Source organism: Homo sapiens, chromosome 8 (assembly GCF_000001405.40).
Source record: "Homo sapiens chromosome 8, GRCh38.p14 Primary Assembly".
In the NCBI taxonomy this organism is placed as follows: domain Eukaryota; kingdom Metazoa; phylum Chordata; class Mammalia; order Primates; family Hominidae; genus Homo; species Homo sapiens.
The window spans coordinates 127,109,205-127,128,619 of record NC_000008.11 but is presented as its reverse complement, the minus strand read 5'-3'; positions in this window follow the sequence as shown (position 1 = coordinate 127,128,619).

Here is a 19,415-nt window from a genome sequence, read left to right as displayed (position 1 = left end):
TCTGTGGTCAAAAAATAATTTTTGGTATGTGAAATTGGTTAAAAGAAAGGGGATTCCAGATGAAGAGACCATGATGAATTAAGGTGTTATTTTATCCAGGGCTAAAACATGTTTATAAAAATGTATCTTAGAATCTTCCATTATTGCCACAAGTTGCCATAAATATAGCAGATTTGTTCTTGCAACAGAACAAAAAAAATAGAAAAAAAGATGAAATTAGAGAACACTATCATGTTCTCTGTAAAAGAAGAACCAGAACATTAATCATGGGTCCTATATCAGTTAGACTTCTTTGCTGCAAGCAATAAATGCCATCTTTGGTTCACTTAAGCAAACAAAGAAGGAAAAGCCAAAGAACTGAGTTGTAGGATGCACAAGAGCTGGGACAGCTCCTGGAATCAAGGAAGCAAAACGGCCAATTTATTTTTTTTTTTCTGGGAGCTATGATCAGCATAAATATCCAAACTGCAGAAAGAGAGAATCAAAAAGCTCCAGCTTGGATATGGGCCACCCCTTGATGAGTGGAGCAAGGTACCTTGATTGGCAGTGACAGAGATAATTCCCTAGAGCAAAATCCATATTAAAAATCACATGATGTCACCAAAGAAACATCTTAGGACATCTCTTCTCTTACTACTATAGCTTTAAATGTCCTTCACCTGTATGTTAGCTTCCTAGGGCTGCTATGACAAAGTAACACCAATTGGGTAGTTTAAGAAAACCAATAAATTTATTGTTTTATAGTTCTAGAGGCTAGCAACCTGAAATTACAGTGCCAGTGGAGCCATGCTCCTTTCTAGGGAAAATGCTTCCTTGCCTCTTTTTAGTTTCTGGTGGCTCCTGTCAATCCTTGTCTTTTCTTGGCTTCAGTCTCTGCTTCCATCATCACATGGATTTTTTCCCTGTGTGTGTCTGAGTGCATGCTCTCTCCTTTTTAAGAATATCAGTCATTGCATTTAGAACACATCCTAATCTGCTATGACCTTAACTAATTACATCTGCAAAGACCGTATTTCCAAACAAGTTGCCATTTTGCACTTCAAGGTAGATGTGAATTTTGGGGTGATAGTTTTCAAAACTTTATACTTTGTCTTCCTTTGGGACCATTTGGTTTTCTCTATCACAAACTAACTATCCTGTCCTCTAATTTACAAATTAAATGTGTTTTTATATAGAGTTATGGTTCTTTAAGGGTAAGGACAAGGCCATGTTCATCTTTGCTTATTTAGCATCTAGTAGAGTGTCTGGTATACTGTAAGCACAAAAGCAGTTTATTGAATGAATGAATAAATAAACAAAAAATGAATTATTCAACTAATAGGAGACATAAGAAAAAAAAAAAACTACAAAGGAATCAGGAATGGCACTTGGCATGTATCCCTATACAAGATTATAGAGTTCCATGGTCCTGTCGTGTACCCAAACAACACTATTGCAGAAACAGCAAATAAAAGCAAGTTTCCTGTTCCCCACAAGGGTTTATAATGGCCTGAATATTAAGAAAATTGACCTTGTTTCCACTTTGATTCTTATAAGTTCTCAGATAAAATAGACAATTTACAACTTCCATGTATTTTCTCTATATTTCTCAACTAGTTTGCCTTTTCCTAGTGTGGTTACATCATGCAACCCTGTTTACCTCCTCTGGCCTTGGCCAGCTTCCTTTACTTTCACACCCATTGCAAAGCAGTTTTGCTTTTCCTTCAAGGATTTTATTTTTATACCCTGCTTGTCGGTGCTTAATTTACATCTTCTCCCCCAGCTTCAAAGGTTTGCCGAGGCTATGACTTCACCTCCTTAACAGTGGTCACTTTCTTCTTTGAAGTTGAGTATTCATTTGAAGAGAGATGCTGTGTCTTTTGGCTCCTTCTCCTCATCCATGCTGTCTGGAGATGAGGGAAAACACAGTTGCCCTAATGATTTGATCAGATAAGTCTGATACTTTCTGGATTTAAGGAGCCAGTCCACTTCCCTGCTATGAATTAGAATGAGAGAGAAAAATGATTCTAGTTTTAGGCTCAATCTTCAGAGGTTATTTTCCTTAGGCATTGCTGTCATGGGAATGTTTGGGGGCATAACTGGGGACATGAACAGCCCAGAAAATTGCCTGGTGGGGACAGGCAGCAGGCTGGCTTTTATTGTTGACCCCTGATTCCCACAACGTAACCTTCCTCCTTTGCTGTGCCTGCCCTGATCGTACTTCGAGTTTACAATTACAATTTGTTTTTCATCCTGTTCCATGTCCTTGGAGAGGGATCACTTTGATGACAGTGCCAGAAACTAATTGTGAGGGGAACCAATTGTATGGGAGGATGAAGTCCATGGAGCCAGAGGTCCTCAGCATCCTGAAGAGAAGGGAGGTGCGATAAGGGAACATGTTTCCAGGGAAGACTCCAGGCTTCCTTTCCTGGAGACCTCTCAGAATAGGTTGTTTAGCCCTCCTACTGGAATTACTGAGTCGTATGTTTGGAAGGGACCATATTAAGCTGTGCTGTTTAAGTTCTTTAAGAGTGTGAATTCCCTGGGCTATGAGTTCCATGCTGTCTAAATCAATGGGCCGATGTGTTGCTGTAGAAGAGTTGGCTTAGAATCAGGTCAACTAGAGTCGGAATCTTGGGTTCTACCTCTGGCTGGGTTATTTTATTAACAATATTATTAAAAATACTAGCAAGCATTTATTGAGTACACATTATGGGCATGTTGTTGGGTTGAGTGCCTGACTCTCAACAGCTTAATTTATCACAATAATTGTTCTATGAGAAGGTATTATTATGTTGTTGTCATTAGGTTTTACAAAATAGAACACAAAATACATAAGGCACAGCTTGTAAGATCACAGAATTAGTAAAGGACAGAATTATTAGGGAAGAGCAAGGTCTTGCAAGTTCATGTGCATGCTAAACAACTACATAATACTGTCAAACACTACACTACACATTTGCCAAGTCTTGTTTCCTTATCTGGAAAATGAAGACAATAATCCTATTTATAGATGTATAGGATTAAGCAAAATTGTTACTGGGCTGTGAAAGTGAGTAGCCAGTTACCTAGAACGTGGGCTTTCAATGATTGTCAGTGCTTTTTTATTTCCTCCCTTCTCTTTTCTGCAAACCACAAACCTTAAATCTTACCTTGGGAGACATCCTGTTCTACATGGCTGTTCTACATGGCCATGGGAGATTGCTTGGTAATTTGTCCCGGTAGTTCCATGGGGCTTACCGGCCTGTTTCCAGCCAGCCCCATGAAAGCAAAGGCATGAGAGGGACTATGCAAGGCTGCCAGGGATTCCCTGTCTACTCTGGGCACATCCCACTAAGCACGAGGCCCTGATACATGTTGGCCAGAGAAGGCTGCCTGCTGCTCCCCATTTCACAATATCTTGATGAAATGTGGTTCAAAAGGGCACCAATGAGGCTTACACAATCCCCCACTCCTTCAGGATTAAGAAACTAAAGCATGTTTCTGGCTCCTCTGCAGCCCAAATGGGGAATCCTATCAACTCCATAGCCCCTTGGAACTCCCAGTGGGGGAAACCTAAACCCGAGGCCCACTTTAGCCTTCTTTCCCCAAGGAGGTCTTATTGGCCTGCTCTATGAAATTCTCACCATGATCCTCCAGTGTCCATGCCTCCACTTTACACATAGAAAACTGATGCTCAGCAAGAATCAGTAACTTGCTCAAAATCACACATGAAGAATGCAAGCCAGAGCTGTCTGATTGCAAAGCTCTTTACATTACTTAGCTTTCCATTATTGCACTGGTCTGGCAATCCAGGTGACAAAAATCTAGCAGAGCCATTTATTCATTCATTTACAAATAGTTGTTGAGAATCAATGATGTGCTAGATATAGATGTTGGGGATACAACAGTGAATAAACAGAGCTTTTCTGTTCTCAATTAGAGCTTACCGAATGGAGTAGGAAACAAACAAGAAACAAACATAGATATATAAAATGTCAGGTGATAATAAGCACCAAGAAGAAAATACATGTGGCTGAGGAAGACTTTTCTGTGAAAGTGACTTCTGAACAGAAAATTAGATTAAGTGGGAAAGTGGTTCATGCAAATATTGGGGAGGAACAAAGCAGGAAATGGAAAATTCACAGCCTCTGATGCAGGAGTGTGCTTGGTGTGTTGGAGAAAGAGCATGGCAATAGCTAGACACAACCGGGTGAAGGAAAGTAGGAGATGAGGTCAGAGAGGTGACATCACAAATGGCCCATGCAAGGCCACTGTGGGGACTTGGCAGTTTTCTCTGAGAGAAATGAGCTGGGAATACAGGTGAAGTGGCTGGGACAGTGGTACATCTTCAGAAAGTTACGGTTCCAACACTAATAAATGAAGGGGTTGGATTTCACTGGTGGTTCCCGAACTGGCTGCACAGTGAATCTCCTAATCACTCAGTTAAAGCTGTGACTACCTGGGATCCACCACCAGAGACCATGATTCAGTAAGTCTGGGGCACAGGCTCTGTTGATGGTTCCAATACCCAGATATATTTGGCAACCATTTCCCTAGACTCACTCTAAGACTTTGCTGATCAACACCTCTGTTAATGACCCCAAATCTGTACATGGACAAGAGCTGTAAATACAACATGAAATATTAGCCAGTGTGAAAAGCCTTCTGTTATCTTATCGATGTAAGGATTTGCAGTATGATCTTATTACTTCTCTCTCTCATCACTCATTTTCTCCCTCTGAACATGCAGAAGAGATTAAATAGCTAAAGAGAGCAAATGACTACATTCTAACGCAGAAGGCTATCGGATCAAACCCTCTATTTTTCTGTGTACTTTTTGATGGCCTGTGAATTGACTTAATCAAACTGGAAATGTATATGCTATCTAAATAATCTGCTTAATATTCTGTAACATTACTCCAATTACTCATCCTTTCAATAAATTTAATCTATTGTTTTGAGCACCTTATTCTATTTCACACTCTCTCCTTTGCTCAAGAAAAGACTCAGTAGTCTCATAATAAAGGTGAAATTAGATTTAAAATGCTCAGGGAATTTTTCTCCCCTCACACTTCTTTATTCCAAACCCAGATATGATATGAAGCATGAAAAATTGCTGGATTTTCAAGTGAATGAATTTCAAATTTGAGAATTGACATGGATAGGTTTACCTACTGATTCATGTGCTGTGTTCTAGATTGGGAAGACGGCATTTCGAAATGTGTGGTCACACATATGTGCTTAAATTTTTAGATGATTTTAGACCATAGATTTCTCTGGTGCCAGTCAGCAAACTCTCCAAAACAAGAAGTAAATATTTTAGGTATTTTGGACAATGTTGCAACATGGTCCACTGCAACATCTCTGTGGCCACTACTCAGATCTCCTGAGGCAGCGCAAAAGCTTCTTTCATGGACAATATGCAAATGAATGAGTGTGGCTGAGTTTCAATACAATTGTATAGACAGAAACAGGTGGTATGCCAGATTTGATAAGCAGGCTTTGGTTTGCCGAATCCTGATCTAGTCTAATTGTTCTATTTTTGTTTTTCTTTTCATTTTAAATTTAGCAAATTAAGTCCCAGAGATGATATTTGACTTGGATTGATTACAGCACTGCTGAGACAGGAACCAGAGTCTGTTGACCCAGATCAATGGTCTTTCAACTCTACCAAGCTGCTCCTACTCAGGGGCTCACATTGATAGTCAGTGCAGGAGCTCCAGCTTCCAAGGCAGAGCTAGAAATGAGTTGAGTGCAAGCTCATTAGATCTTGATGTGGACATGAGTTCACTGCCAGGAGTCCTTGGCTATTGCCTGTCCTTCCTCTTCCCTTTCTGGTCGTGGTGCTGTGGGAGGCACTTCTCTCCCTAATCTCTTTTAAGGGTACATTTATACCTTCTGCAACCACAACAGGTAAGAACCAAGACACTAAAAGAATCCAGAATATTTTTTTGAACCAGCTATGAAGATGGCATTGATGTTAGCCCCAACTGCACTTGCAAACGCAATCCATTATCCCTCTCTTTTGTTAATAACCTGTCCCTTCAGACAGCTCCCTACTCACTTTCCTCTGAGGACAATTTTTACTCAGATAGTACAATTGATTGCAGCTACAATTTCTCTCTGGGGCCTAAAACCCCATTCATCTTACTTTTTTTGAGAAGTGAGATAAAAGCAAGTGTATTTCTTATCTCTGTGGAACAGGAAGTTCCAAGTTCCAATTTTCTGTGGATCCCACAATCTTGTCCCAAAATGTTAGATACATTTTTGTCTTCTTGTGATATTTATCTTCCTGTTTTCCTTTCACTTGCAATAACATAGATATTACATTTCGTCTTTTTTTTAACTCTTTCTTATATAAATCCCCCATATTGAGTTGACTTTTGATCTAAAGTTCTAGAATTTGCTGTGAAATTGTCACTTTCTGTTTTTAATGAAGGTTGAATAGTTAACCTTAATGAAGGTTGAAGGACAATAGTCCTTTCTACCAATTGTGAATTTCTCTACTTCATGCTGCTGAGTCCTCAACGATTTCAAACTCCTTCCAACAAAGTAGTTCAAAGTATTCCTTTCCCCCGATTGTATTGACAACATCCATATCTTTTTTTTTTTTTTTTTTTTTTTTTGAGACAAACTCTCGCTCTGTCATCTAGGCTGGAGTGCAGTGGCATGATCTCAGCTCACTGAAACCTCCACCTCCCAGGTTCAAGAAACACCCATATCTTAAGCTAAACCTTGAATCTCCAAATGGTTTATTTCCTACTCAACTCAGGAATAAAATTTAAAGAGATGACATTTGTGGCCATTTGTGGAAGTGCTTTGCAAATACAAAATAATATGTTTAGTTGTCACTTTTATTGTTTTCATTTTCAACATTTTTTCTAGGCTCCTTTATTTTCATGCCAATTGTCTGGATACTGGAATTTAAAAAAAACCTCAATAGATTTCCAGCATCTGGTTATTGGGCCTCCCCTTTCTTAAGCTCTAGGATTAAAATGTTCTTCACTTGCTATTACTAAAAATTAATTCTCTTAAGTTATTTTAAAAATGTTTGAAGGAAAATATAGCCCTGCCCTTTTAAGGATTAAAAGCCATTTGTTTCAGCAGAAAAAAAGGTTGTAAAAATCCCATATGACAAAACCTGTAGTAAAAAAGTGATCCTACATAAGTCTTTGCAAAATAAATTCTACCCAACAGAGTAGTTTAGAGGACGAAATGTAGACCTGTGATTTCCTACAGATCTTTTCTAAACTGGAGTGAGAATTAGAACCACTACTGCAAAAATATCAGAAATGAATAGTGCTACTACTAATCTCTGTTCTTCCTCATCATGGCAGCCTATGAAAGAACAAGCTGTGGACATGAGTAAAATTATTCAGGTAAAATACATTTAGGTTGTATATTTATGTTAATGGTCTTCAAAAAAGCTTACTTAGCCTAACATGAAAACAGTGAGTGGCTAGCCAGGTGCAGTGGCTCACGCCTGTAATCCCAGCACTTTGAGAGGCCAAGGCAGGTAGATCACTTGAGGCCAGGAGTTCAGGACCAGGCTGGCTAATATGGGAAACCCCCTATCTACTAAAAATATAAAAATTAGCCAGGTGTGGTGGTGCACACCTGTATTCCCAACTACTTGGGAGGCTGAGGCACAAGAATCGCTTGAACCCGGGAAGTGGAGGTTGCAATGAGCCAAGACTGTGCCATTGCACTCCAGCCTGGGTGACAGAGTGAGACCCTGTCTCAAAAGAAAAAAAAAGAAAATAAAAAGAAAACAGTGCGCAGTTAATAGGGTCTCCTTGCAAACTTTAAGGCATATTTATTTTAATGTGCTATCAATTTCTGCCCTAGTTTTTGGCAGACTGATTCATAAACTAATCAGTTAACTAATTGATCACATATCATCATATGCAGGTAATGTGCTAGGCACTGTAATAGTAGGATCTGCTCTATGGGCAACATGACTGTTACCAGCACCTGGCTTTACTGTAGTTACTCACATGAAGTTGCCTTCCCACCATTCCAATGGCTTCATTATGGTCTCAGACTCTTTGGGTTGCTGTACAAAATACCTTAAACCTGGTAGCTTATAAACAACAGAAACTTATTTCTCACAGTTTTGGAGCCTGGGAAATCCAAGATGAAAGCGCTGGTCAGCGTCTAGTGAGGTCCTCTATCCAGGTTCAGAGAACAGCAGCTTCTTGCCATGTCCTCAGATAGTAGAAGGGTTTAACTAGTTCTCTGCAGTTTCTTTTATGAGGGCATAAATCCCATTTGTGAGGGCTCCACCCTCACAACCTTATCACTGCCCAAAGGCCCCACTTCTTAGTACCGGCACCTTGGGGGTCAGGGTCTCAACATATGAATTGTAGGGGGCACAAAATTTAGACCATGGCAATCAATTCTCCCATTTTATTATTTCTATGTGCATGGTCCATTCTGCTGACAATAAAGGAATACATTAGTTCCAATACCATCCAGTGTTCTACTTGGTGAGCTATCTCTTATTCTTCAAACCTCAATCTACATCTACTGAGTATCTACTATAGGCCTGATGACAGGTAGATACTAAGAATATACGATGAATGAAATAAGACTCCTTCTGGGCTAAGGTGGGAGGATCACTTGAGGCCAGGAATTCAAGACCAGCCTGGGAAATGTAGCAAGACCTTGTCTCTACTAAAAATTAAACATTAGCCAGGCTTGATAGTGCACACTTGTAGTCTCAGCTACTCAGGAGGCTGATGTGGGAGGACCACTTGAACCCAGGAGGTGAAGGCTGCAATGAGCCGTGATTGCCCCATTGCACCCCATCCTGGATAACAGAACAAGATCATATCTCAAAAAAAATTCTCCTTTAAGTGGAGAAATATATATGTGAGCAAAGAACTGTCACACATTGTGACATATACTTTATGTATATTTCACATGGTGAAGGGCAATCTTCCCTGAAGAAATGACACTTGATTTAATCTTGTAGGTAAACAGGCGTATTACAAATCTTTTATGAGGGTAGCTCCACCATCTGATAGATCCATTTTCAAAAATATAAAATCAAACCTCACCTGCTGCCTCAGACTTCAAACACATTCAAATGCTTCTTCTACCCCAAAGTGCTTCCTCAGTGACAACTGACTACTATTCCATGACTAGACTAAATACAAAATTCTTTTACTGCTGAGAAATATTTGTATCTGTTTCAGACACTATCCTAAATATTGCAGGTGACTTTTGAACATTATTTATTTCAAAGTCACAGCATTTCTCTTTATTATTTCTCCAGTAATTTTCACTGGGTCTCTTTGTAAATAGGTCTCTGTCGCTTGTCTGACTTGACAGATTCCATTCTTATACAGTAAATTCTATGCAACTCTACGTTTCTCAACATCTTTCTTTGAGCTCCATGTTTTTCCCTCTTACTGTTCCAGTTGCATGACAGAATTCAGGAGTTTGATGCAGGTGAACAGTAGGAAAATTATAAAGAGAGAGGCTGGGTGCGGTGACTCACGCCTGTAATCCCAGCACTTTGGGAGGCCAAGGTGGGCAGATCACTTGAGATCAGGAGTTTGAGAATAGCCTGGCCAACATGGTGAAACCCTGTCTCTACTAAAAATATGAAAACTAGCCAGGGGTGGTGGCGGGCACCTGTAGTCCCAGCTACAGGAGGGAGGCTGAAGCAAGAGGTTCGCTTGAACCTGGAAGGTGGAGATTGCAGTGAGCTGAGATCACACCACTGCACTCTAGCCTGGGCGACAGAACGAGACTCCATCTCAATGAAAATAAATAAATAAATAAATAAATAAATAAATATATAAATAAATAAAAATTATGAAGAAAGAAACACAGAGAAGAGGAGAGGCCAGAGGAGGAATTTCTCTGCTGTAAATGGAAGTAAAAAGCAGCAATTTTACATTATGGTTTAGGCATCCAGATCTTCAGTAGGAAAAAGACAGGCATTCCAACCACAAGACGCAGAGAAGAGCAGGACAGAGCCTCAAGAGGCAGAGAAGAGCAGGGCAAAGCCTCTGAAGCAGGAGAGGAAGAGACCAACTTAGGAGGACACCTCTGTAGGAATGTCTGGACCAGCAGTACAGATGGGGTGGAGGCAGGAGGTGAAGCTGAGAAAATAAGCAAGGACCTGTTTCTGCTGCCCCAGTTTTGGGGGCACTGTTTGAATGTGTCCATCTATTATGTATCAAAAATATAATAAAAATAAGTAAATAATTTAAAAATAGGGTTGGGGGGAATTTTTTTAAAGGGGTAGTCAAAGAGACCATTCTGATAGGAGGTATTTGAAGAGGCATCTGATTATGAAGTGTTTTGTATGCTATGCTGAGGATTTTGAGCTTCATCTTTAACATGGAAAATTTAGGAAAGATTTTAATGGTGCAATGAAGCAAGGAGATAATGCATTTTTTTTCTTAAGGTTACTTTTGGTGACAATAGTTAGAATTGAACAGGCTCAAAAATTCCAGGGCTGGGCAAGTTGGCTCGCGCCTGTAATCCTAGCACTTGGGAAGGCTGAGGTGGAAGGATGGCTTGAGGCCAGGAGTTCGAAAGCAACCTGGTCAACAGAGTAAGACTCAATCTCTACAAAGAAGAAATGAAATAATTCTCCGGGCATTGTGGTGTACACTTTCATCCCAGCTATTTGGGAGGCTGAGGTGGAGAATCACTTGAACCCAAGAGTTGGAGGCTTTAGTGAGCTGTGATCACACCACTGCACTCTAGCCCTGGCAACAGAGCAAGACCTTGCCTCAAAAAGCAAACAAATAAAAAAGAACAATAGGTTTGGAAGATATTGAAAAAGTCCTGAGTAGAAACTAAATTGGGGTAGGAAATGAAGAAATATTTTTAAGAGGCGTAATCATCCAAAATCATCCAAATTTTGTTTAGAAAGACATTGCTGACTGATTTGATTCATTCATCCATGATTCATTCATCTATTTCTTTTTTTTTTCATTCATTCATTTATTCCACAAATATTTTGACTGCCATGTAGTAGGCATGCATGTGTTGGGCAGTGAACCAAACAGATGCTCAGCTCTCATTTGGTTTATAGCCTAGAAGGGGAAAAGTATAAGAAGTAAATATAGTTGTGGAATTACAGATTAATAGGTACAATATATAGTTAGAAGAAATAAGATCTAGCATTTGATAGATCAATAGGGTGATTATAGTTAACATTCTTCTATTGTATATTTCAAAAAGTTAGAAAGTAATTTGAATGTCCACAGCATAAAGAAAAGGTAAAACACTTAAGGCAATGGATATCCCAATTACTCCGATTCAATCTTTATGCACAATATGAATGTATCAAATTATTATATGTACCCCCAAAATATATGCACCTATTATGTATTGTTAACAAATAATAAAAATAAATAAAATTGTTAACATAGGGTTGACAGGACTATTTTTTTAATGGGGTCGTTCGAAAGACTGTTCTGATAAGGAAATACCTGAGTAGGCACCTGAAAGAAGTGAAGGAATGAGCCCTGTAATATATTCAGGACACAGGTTTTCTGGACAGAATCAATGGTATAATCATAGTCCCTAAAGCAGTGCATGCTGGGAAGGTGTTTTTGTGAGAGGAGGAGCAGTCTGGAGGGTACTGCATTTTCAGAGATTGTCCTTCGCCTTCAGTGTCTCTTTTCTTTGTCCCCAGTCATAAAACCTCCCTTGCTCTCTCTCAGAGTCTAGAATGTCCTACTAGCTGTTGGAACCTGCTGGAGTTCTAAAGGCATGCGATGTCCTGAATGTGCTTGACCAATGGACACAGCAGGTATTTGAAGAGTTTTGATGCTTCCTTTCTGTTTTCAGTGCTATTTTTTTGCTTTATTTCTTTTAAAAAACTTTCCCCACAGAGGCTATTTATTACACAGCAGCAGCCAGCATGCACCAAGCAGAACTGCTTTTCATAATAAACCTATTTATCTTCTGGCATGTCAGAAATTTCTCAAATTGATACTTATAATAAATATGATTAATAACACATTGTATTTCAGTTGTTGCCGTAAAATAATTGGGAATAAATATCGTATTGTGATGTTGACAGTGTCAGGTTGGTTGGTGCCAAACAGCGGGAGCAGCCAACTGTATTTCATTAACAGCCACATTGCTACAATGCTATTAAGTTTTTCATAATCTCTTCTGCTCAAGGTTGATCATTCATTCTGTTAGACAAATTCTTGCAACAATCACACTGGAAGTAAATCTGCCAGCGACAATCTCAGCAAGATGGGTTCTCACAGGGACATTAGGTCCCCTGCCTGTGAAATATGCTAGGCAAGTATTGCAATGTTGCGCTTGTGGATTAAGGACTAATCAAAGAGCATGAGAAAGACACCAGGACTAATAGACATATAAATGGTGAACCTGAATTTGAAGTGGCAGGAGAGGGAGAATAGGGCATGGCTTTTAAAGGAAGGTAATATGCCTCATGATCCCTCAGCCTTCTCCAAACACACCAGCTTCCTCCTTCGTCATATTTACTGCTTCTGCCATACAGTTACTCGTTGTTCTCTAAACACATTAAACTGTACCACGGCTCCTCATACTGCATTTGCAAAATGTAATTTTCATTTCAATATATTCCTCCCAACCCCCTTAAAAGTATGGTAAACTCTTACTCATCCCTCCGAACCTGTTTTAAGCTACATTTCCTCCTTGAAGCCATACTAGAACACTTGCCTACTCCTTCTACAGGGCTGTCATGAAACTATATGCATTTGTCAATTACTACGTATTTTACACTGAATCACAATTAGTTGGTTTTCATGTGTGTGTCTCTCCTTATGCAATGAGTTCTTGGAGGCAGGGCTTACACTTAGCACAAAGCAGATGCCCCGCTCAGAGAAAGTGCTCACTAGATAATTGTTGAACTGAACTAAACTGAAGGGGACATAGAAACAGTCTGGGCAAAGCAGGGAACCAGAGTTGCTGGTCATTCCAGTGACAGGCACAGAATGTCCCTTCTGTGCAGTGTGCTAAAGGCCTGCCAAGGATCCTAGATGCTTTAAAACATTTTTCGGCTGGGCACGGTGGCTCACGCCTGTAATCCCAGCACTTTGGGAGGCTCAGGCAGTAGATCACCTGAGATCAGGAGTTTGACACCAACCTGGCCAACATGGTGAAACTCTGTCTCTACTAAAAATATAAAAATTAGCTGAGTGTAGTGACATGCGCCTGTAATCTCAGCTACTCTGGAGGCTGGGGCAGGAGAGTCCCTTGAGGCCAGGAGGTGGAGTTTGCAGTGAGCCGAGATTGCACCATTGCACTCCAGCCTGGACAACAAGAGTTAAACTCTGTCTCAAAACAAACAAACAAACCAACAAACATTTTTCATGGGTATACCCATGTAAGTGTACATGAGAAGCGCAGAGGAGTAGCACAGAATCACAGATTCTGTGATAGCTAAGAATCATAGGATCTTAGCTTGGGATGAATTTTTTAGATAATTTTTCCCAAATCTGCATCAAATCACTTTGATAGCATTAAAATTATTGAGATTCCTGAGACCAATTGTTGACTTATTGTATTATTCATGCATCTATTCAACACCCATGTACTGAACACCCTTACTTGTGAGGATGCTGGGGTGGGCATTGGGTACAGAGTACTGAGTAAAGCTAACATAGGCCCTGAATTAATACAACTTATAGTCTTAAAGCAGGGAGGAGGGGTCAGACAGTCATTTATCAGTTAATCACACAAATAAATATATAATCATACGCTGTGATTAAGAAATATTTCAGGGTGCTAATGAGTATGTCAATGGCAGGATCTAACCTTGTCTGAGCTGAGCTCCAAAAGATAAGTAGAAGTCAAACTGATGAATGTAGGTGGAAGGGTGGAAAACATCAGGCAGAGAAAACAGTTTGTGCCAAGGCCCTGCAGCCAGAAGGGAATTTGAAGCTGGGTGATATGTGAAGCATTGAAGGCAAGCCCATGTGGTTGGAGCACAGAGGGAGGAAGCTGGAGAGGTGAGACCAACAAGGAACTTTTAGACTATAGTATAGAGTTTTTATTTCAGTCTTTGTTCTAAGAGCTACAAAAGGTCTTCTAGGAGATTTCATCAAGAGAGTAAATGTTGAGTCATAGCTTTGATTAAAAAGATTGCTCCGGCTGCAGTAGGAAGAAGAACTAGTATAGAGTCAGGTCGGCAAGTCAAGGGTTCCTGGCAGTGGTCTATGTGCTTGTAAAAGGATAGTAATAGTGAGGATAGAAAAGTTGGTGGTTGAAAGAGATATTTAGGAAGATATATTGACAGGAATTGGTAATGGATTGAATAAGCATGAAGTGGAAGATGAAGATAGACTATGGAGAATAACTACCTTTTCTGGAGCAAATGAATAGGTGTGAGAAATCATTACCAAAATAAAGATTTGGTGAGAATAAGAGTGTCTTAGTCCCTTTAGTGTTGCTCTAACAGAATACCTGATCTGGGTAATTTATAAAGAAAAAAAATGTTATTTGGCTCACAACTCTAGTGGCTAGAAAATCCAAGAGCATGGCACTGGCATCTGCTCAGCTTGCAGAGGGTTATGTGCTGCCTTACAACATAGCAAAGAAGAAAAATGTCAAGAGACAGCGTGCAAACACAGCAAAACATGAGGAGAAGCTTCACAACAACTCATTCTTGTGGTAATTCATCCAGTCCTGCAAGACAGAAGTCATCCACTCCCACAAGACAATATTTATCTGTTCATGAGGGATCTGCCCACTGGACCCAAACACTTCCCTCTAGGTCCCACCTCCCAACACAGCTGCATTGAGGACCAAGCCTCAACATGAGTTCTGGTGGCGACAAACCATATTCAAACCATAGTACAGTCTCTCCAGATTTGAGAAAACTTCTAGGGTCTGTATTTTCAGCAAGGATTCCATGCGATTCTTGTTAGCCAACATGGTACAGGTACAGAGACTGGCATTCAAGAGTCTCTGGTCACATATCCTACAACAACCCCACAAGTTGTCAGTTCTCAGTGAATGTTCAGTGTTCCTATGTTTTACCTGCAAATATGTGTCTGAATCTCAGTTCTTCTTGGCACCTACTTATTTCCAGCCTTGTTTGAGTCTCCAGCTTAGGGTTGTTGTGAGGATTACATAAGGCTAGTTATTCAACTCCGAAATATTTATTAAGTTCCTACTATGTGCTAAGCTTTGTTCTAGGTATGGGTGCTTCAGAATAGAACATACATGATACATGCCCTCAAGAAGCTCAGAGTCCATAGAGAAAGGTAGATGTAGTATTAAATAGTTTTTCAACAGAATTAAATGCTCTCCCATATGAAAGCCCAGAGAAGTGAGTGATGACTTCCCAAAACGTGGAGACACTTGAAATAAGTCTGCTGGGATGAGCAGGATTAAGCCAGACAAAGTTATGAGCGAATGTTTGAGTCAACCTTTTGGATACAGAGGCTACCAGAGTAGGCAGTTGACATCTCTTCTCTCCCTTTTTGTCTCTTCTATTTACCTCCTTTCTTCCATAATCAAGTACCAGTCCTGTCCTGTCTCCATTAGCTGCTATCTTTACCTTCTATCTCCCAGAAATGTACAAATTATGTAATTCAAGTTTCTATAACTGCCTTCCCCTCCATACTAAAACATGTTACTACACCTTGGTTTCTGTCTTCTTATTTTTCTGAATCTGCACTAGTCCTTTCATTGCTATAGCTGTCCTTCCTCTGTTCTAAGGCTCATGGCACCGTTGTAAGCCCAGGGCCCTATGCTGACACTCATATAACAACATTTTGCTCCATCAGTTACTAAAAGTGCCCTCTTATATCAGCAGTCTCCCTGTCTTTGGAGAGTATACAACATGTATTCTCATCCCATTTTTCCATTATGTTCAGAGCGGTTGAATGACTTGTACAAGTTAATGCAAGTAGTTGAGGCAGAAATGATACTTCAATCGAGATCTTCAAACTTCCAAGTTCAGTTCACTTTCTTCCATAACATGTTATCTCAAAAATACCATTTGCCAGAGATAAGTAATGCTAAATCATTAACACTGCTCCACAACAAAGACCCCACACTTTCTAGAGCCAGCAATTAGCTTCAGATGTATTTGTTGCAAATGGCTTCAAATGTATTTGTTAAACTTTGAACTTTGTATCATTTTAAATTTATTTTATTATTTCATTTTATTATTTTCAGAAGTGGAAACAGCTGGCTTTACTAAACCCTAGGGTCATTTCACTTTCCTATGGCTGTCTCTACCAAGTGTAGCTGGTCTCTTTTGAATACGTGTTGCAAGCTTGAGTTATGTGCCTCTGAAATATGTGGCCCAGGAGGGAAAATCTGGCTTCATAGCTCACTTGGTTCACTTAACCCATGACTGCATGAAATTGCTCCTCAAAATGCATTTCTGTCTCCATAGACTCCTAGTGGGGAGGGGCCTATTGCATGCAATGTCTTAATGTGGGCAGCTTTCCTGACCTCTGCATGTAGGCTGGGTATCCCTTGCAGTTGGGTGGGATGTGACTGCACATCCATTTCAAATGCCCTGAAACTCAGGATGTGCTCCTGAGGTGCTCCCCATGCCAGGATGTGCCTGTGGTTTCCTCAAGAGCTACTTGGATACACCGCATACCCTTGGATCCAGCACTGCTAGAGACTCTGCAGAAACTCTGCAACTTTAACTGGAAACCTCTCTACTGTTGTTGTTCCCTTGGAAAATGACTATTTGCCACTTCAGCTGCCAAATATCTCCTCCCAATATGTTCTGTGAGCATTCAGTCTGCTCAAAGTCTTGTGTAATGGTGGATATATGATGACATTTGTTTCAAGCTAGGCTCACATATCCATCTATCTCAGGGGCTACATGATTTACTTGCCATTTTTTAAACTTTTACTTGTAATTAACAAATAATAATTGTATATATTTATGGGATACAATGTGATGTTTTCATATATGTATACATTGTGGAATGATTATATCAAGCTAATTAAATTAGGCATCATCTCATATACTTTTCTATACTGAAAACATTTAAGGCCTATTCTTTCAGCAATTTTGAGATATAAAAGACATTATTGTTAATTATGGTCACCACACTGTGCAATAGCATTGAAAACTTATTTGTCATGTCTAACTAAAACTTTGTACTCTTTGACCAACATTCTCCCATTCCCTGTACCCCACCCCTCTCCACCCCACCCTCTGGTAAACATCACTCTACTCTCTACCTTTATAAGTTCAACTTTTTGAAGATTCTGCATATGAGATTATACAGTATTTGTCTTTCTGTGACAGGCTTATTTTACTCAGCACAATGTCCTACAGGTTCATCATGTTGTTGCAAATGACAGGATTGCCTTCTTTTTTAAGGCTGAATAGTATTCCACTGTGTATATGTTTTCTATAGCCATTCATCTGTTGATGGACACTCAAGCCAATTTCATACTTGGCAATTGTGAATAAGGCTGCAGCGAACATGGGAATGCAGATATCTCTTCAACATATTGATTTCCAATCCTTTGGATATATACCCAGTATTAGGATCACATGGTAGGCTTATTTTCAGTTTTTTGAAGCTCCTCCATGCAGTTTTCCATAGTGACTATACTAATTTACATTCCCTCCAACAATGTACAAGGATTCCCTTTTCTCTACATCATTGCCAACCTTGTTATCCCTTGTCTTTTTTTGCTAGTAACCATTCTAACAAGTGTAAGGTGATAGTTCATTGTCATTTTGATTTGCATTTCCTTGATGACTAGTAACATTTAAAAAATATCCTATTGGCCATTTGTATGTCTTCTTTTGAGAAATATCTATTTCAGTTTTTTGTCCATTTTCAAACTGGGTTACTTGTTTTCTTGCTATTCAGTTACGTATGGGAAAAAATCATATGAACTAAAGAGAGTTATTCTTGACTGCCTTGTTATATCTTGTTTACATATCATAAGCATTAATTTTTAATTTATTAAATAAATCAATAAATATTTATGAGTGTTATGTATTCCTATGTCAAGTTATTTACATTATAATATCACTTCCACTCAGTTGATTTCTTTGTTGACAGCACCCTCTTTATGACTAATGCTAAAACCTACTTGGATTGATTTAGACAAAAGGACACTGTTTCAGGAAAAATTCTGGGGAAATAATTAAAAATATGACCTTGATGACTTTCAAGGGCCACAATCATCTAGAGGAAAATTAACTATCTTTAACAGTGGGTTTACTGCATTTGGGAAGTAGAATCATTCACTTTAGAAAAATAACTATAATCATGGCGGATGAAATAAAAAGAGATTTTTGAATTGTTTGTGTAAGCCCAAATGTTGAAGTTAACTGTTTTTGTGAGGTTTTCCACTTGTTTGCTTTTGTTTTTGCATATAGAGAAGTAGAAATGTTGCCTGGCTTTCTTCTGAGTCTGGGTAAAGCTCGAGGGAGGGGTATAATGGAGGGAACTAATGCGAATTGAGCTAGACTTGGTGCAGTCATATGCAAGATCTCAGTTCATATCACAAACGCCCTTAGAAGGAGATTCAGCTATTCTTGTTTTCCAGATAAGGAAAGTGAGGATCGAAAGGCCTCAGACATGATCACATCCAGTCGAAGCCTGAGACCTGTGGCCCCTGACTCTTTAGAATCCCTTTCATCAGACTATAAAATTTCTTGTCAGACAATGAGGTTTTCTAGATATACAATCATGTCGTCTGCAAACAGGGACAATTTGACTTCCTCTTTTCCTAACTGAATACCCTTTATTTCCTTCTCCTGCCTAATTGCCCTGGCCAGAACTTCCAACACGATGTTGAATAGGAGTGGTAAGAGAGGGCATCCCTGTCTTGTGCCAGTTTTCAAAGGGAATGCTTCCAGTTTTTGCCCATTCAGTATGATATTGGCTGTGGGTTTGTCATAGATAGCTCTTATTATTTTGAGATATGTCCCATCAATACCTAATTTATTGAGAGTTTTTGGCATGAAGGGTTGTTGAATTTTGTCAAGGCCTTTTCTGCATCTATTGAGATAATCATGTGGTTTTTGCCAGTATCTCCTTAAGCTGATAAGCAACTTCAGCAAAGTCTCAGGATACAAAATCAATGTACAAAAATCACAAGCATTCTTATACACCAATAACAGACAGAGAGCCAAATCATGAGTGAACTCCCATTCACAATTGCTTCAAAGAGAATAAAATACTTAGGAATCCAACTTACAAGGGACGTGAAGGACCTCTTCAAGGAGAACTACAAACCACTGCTCAATAAAATAAAAGAGGATACAAACAAATGGAAGAACATTCCATGCTCATGGGTAGGAAGAATCAATATCGTGAAAATGGCCATACTGCCCAAGGTAATTTATAGATTCAATGCCATCCCCATCAAGCTACCAATGACTTTCTTCACAGAATTGGAAAAAACTACTTTAAAGTTCATATGGCACCAAAAAAGAGCCCGCATCGCCAAGTCAATCCTAAGCCAAAAGAACAAAACTG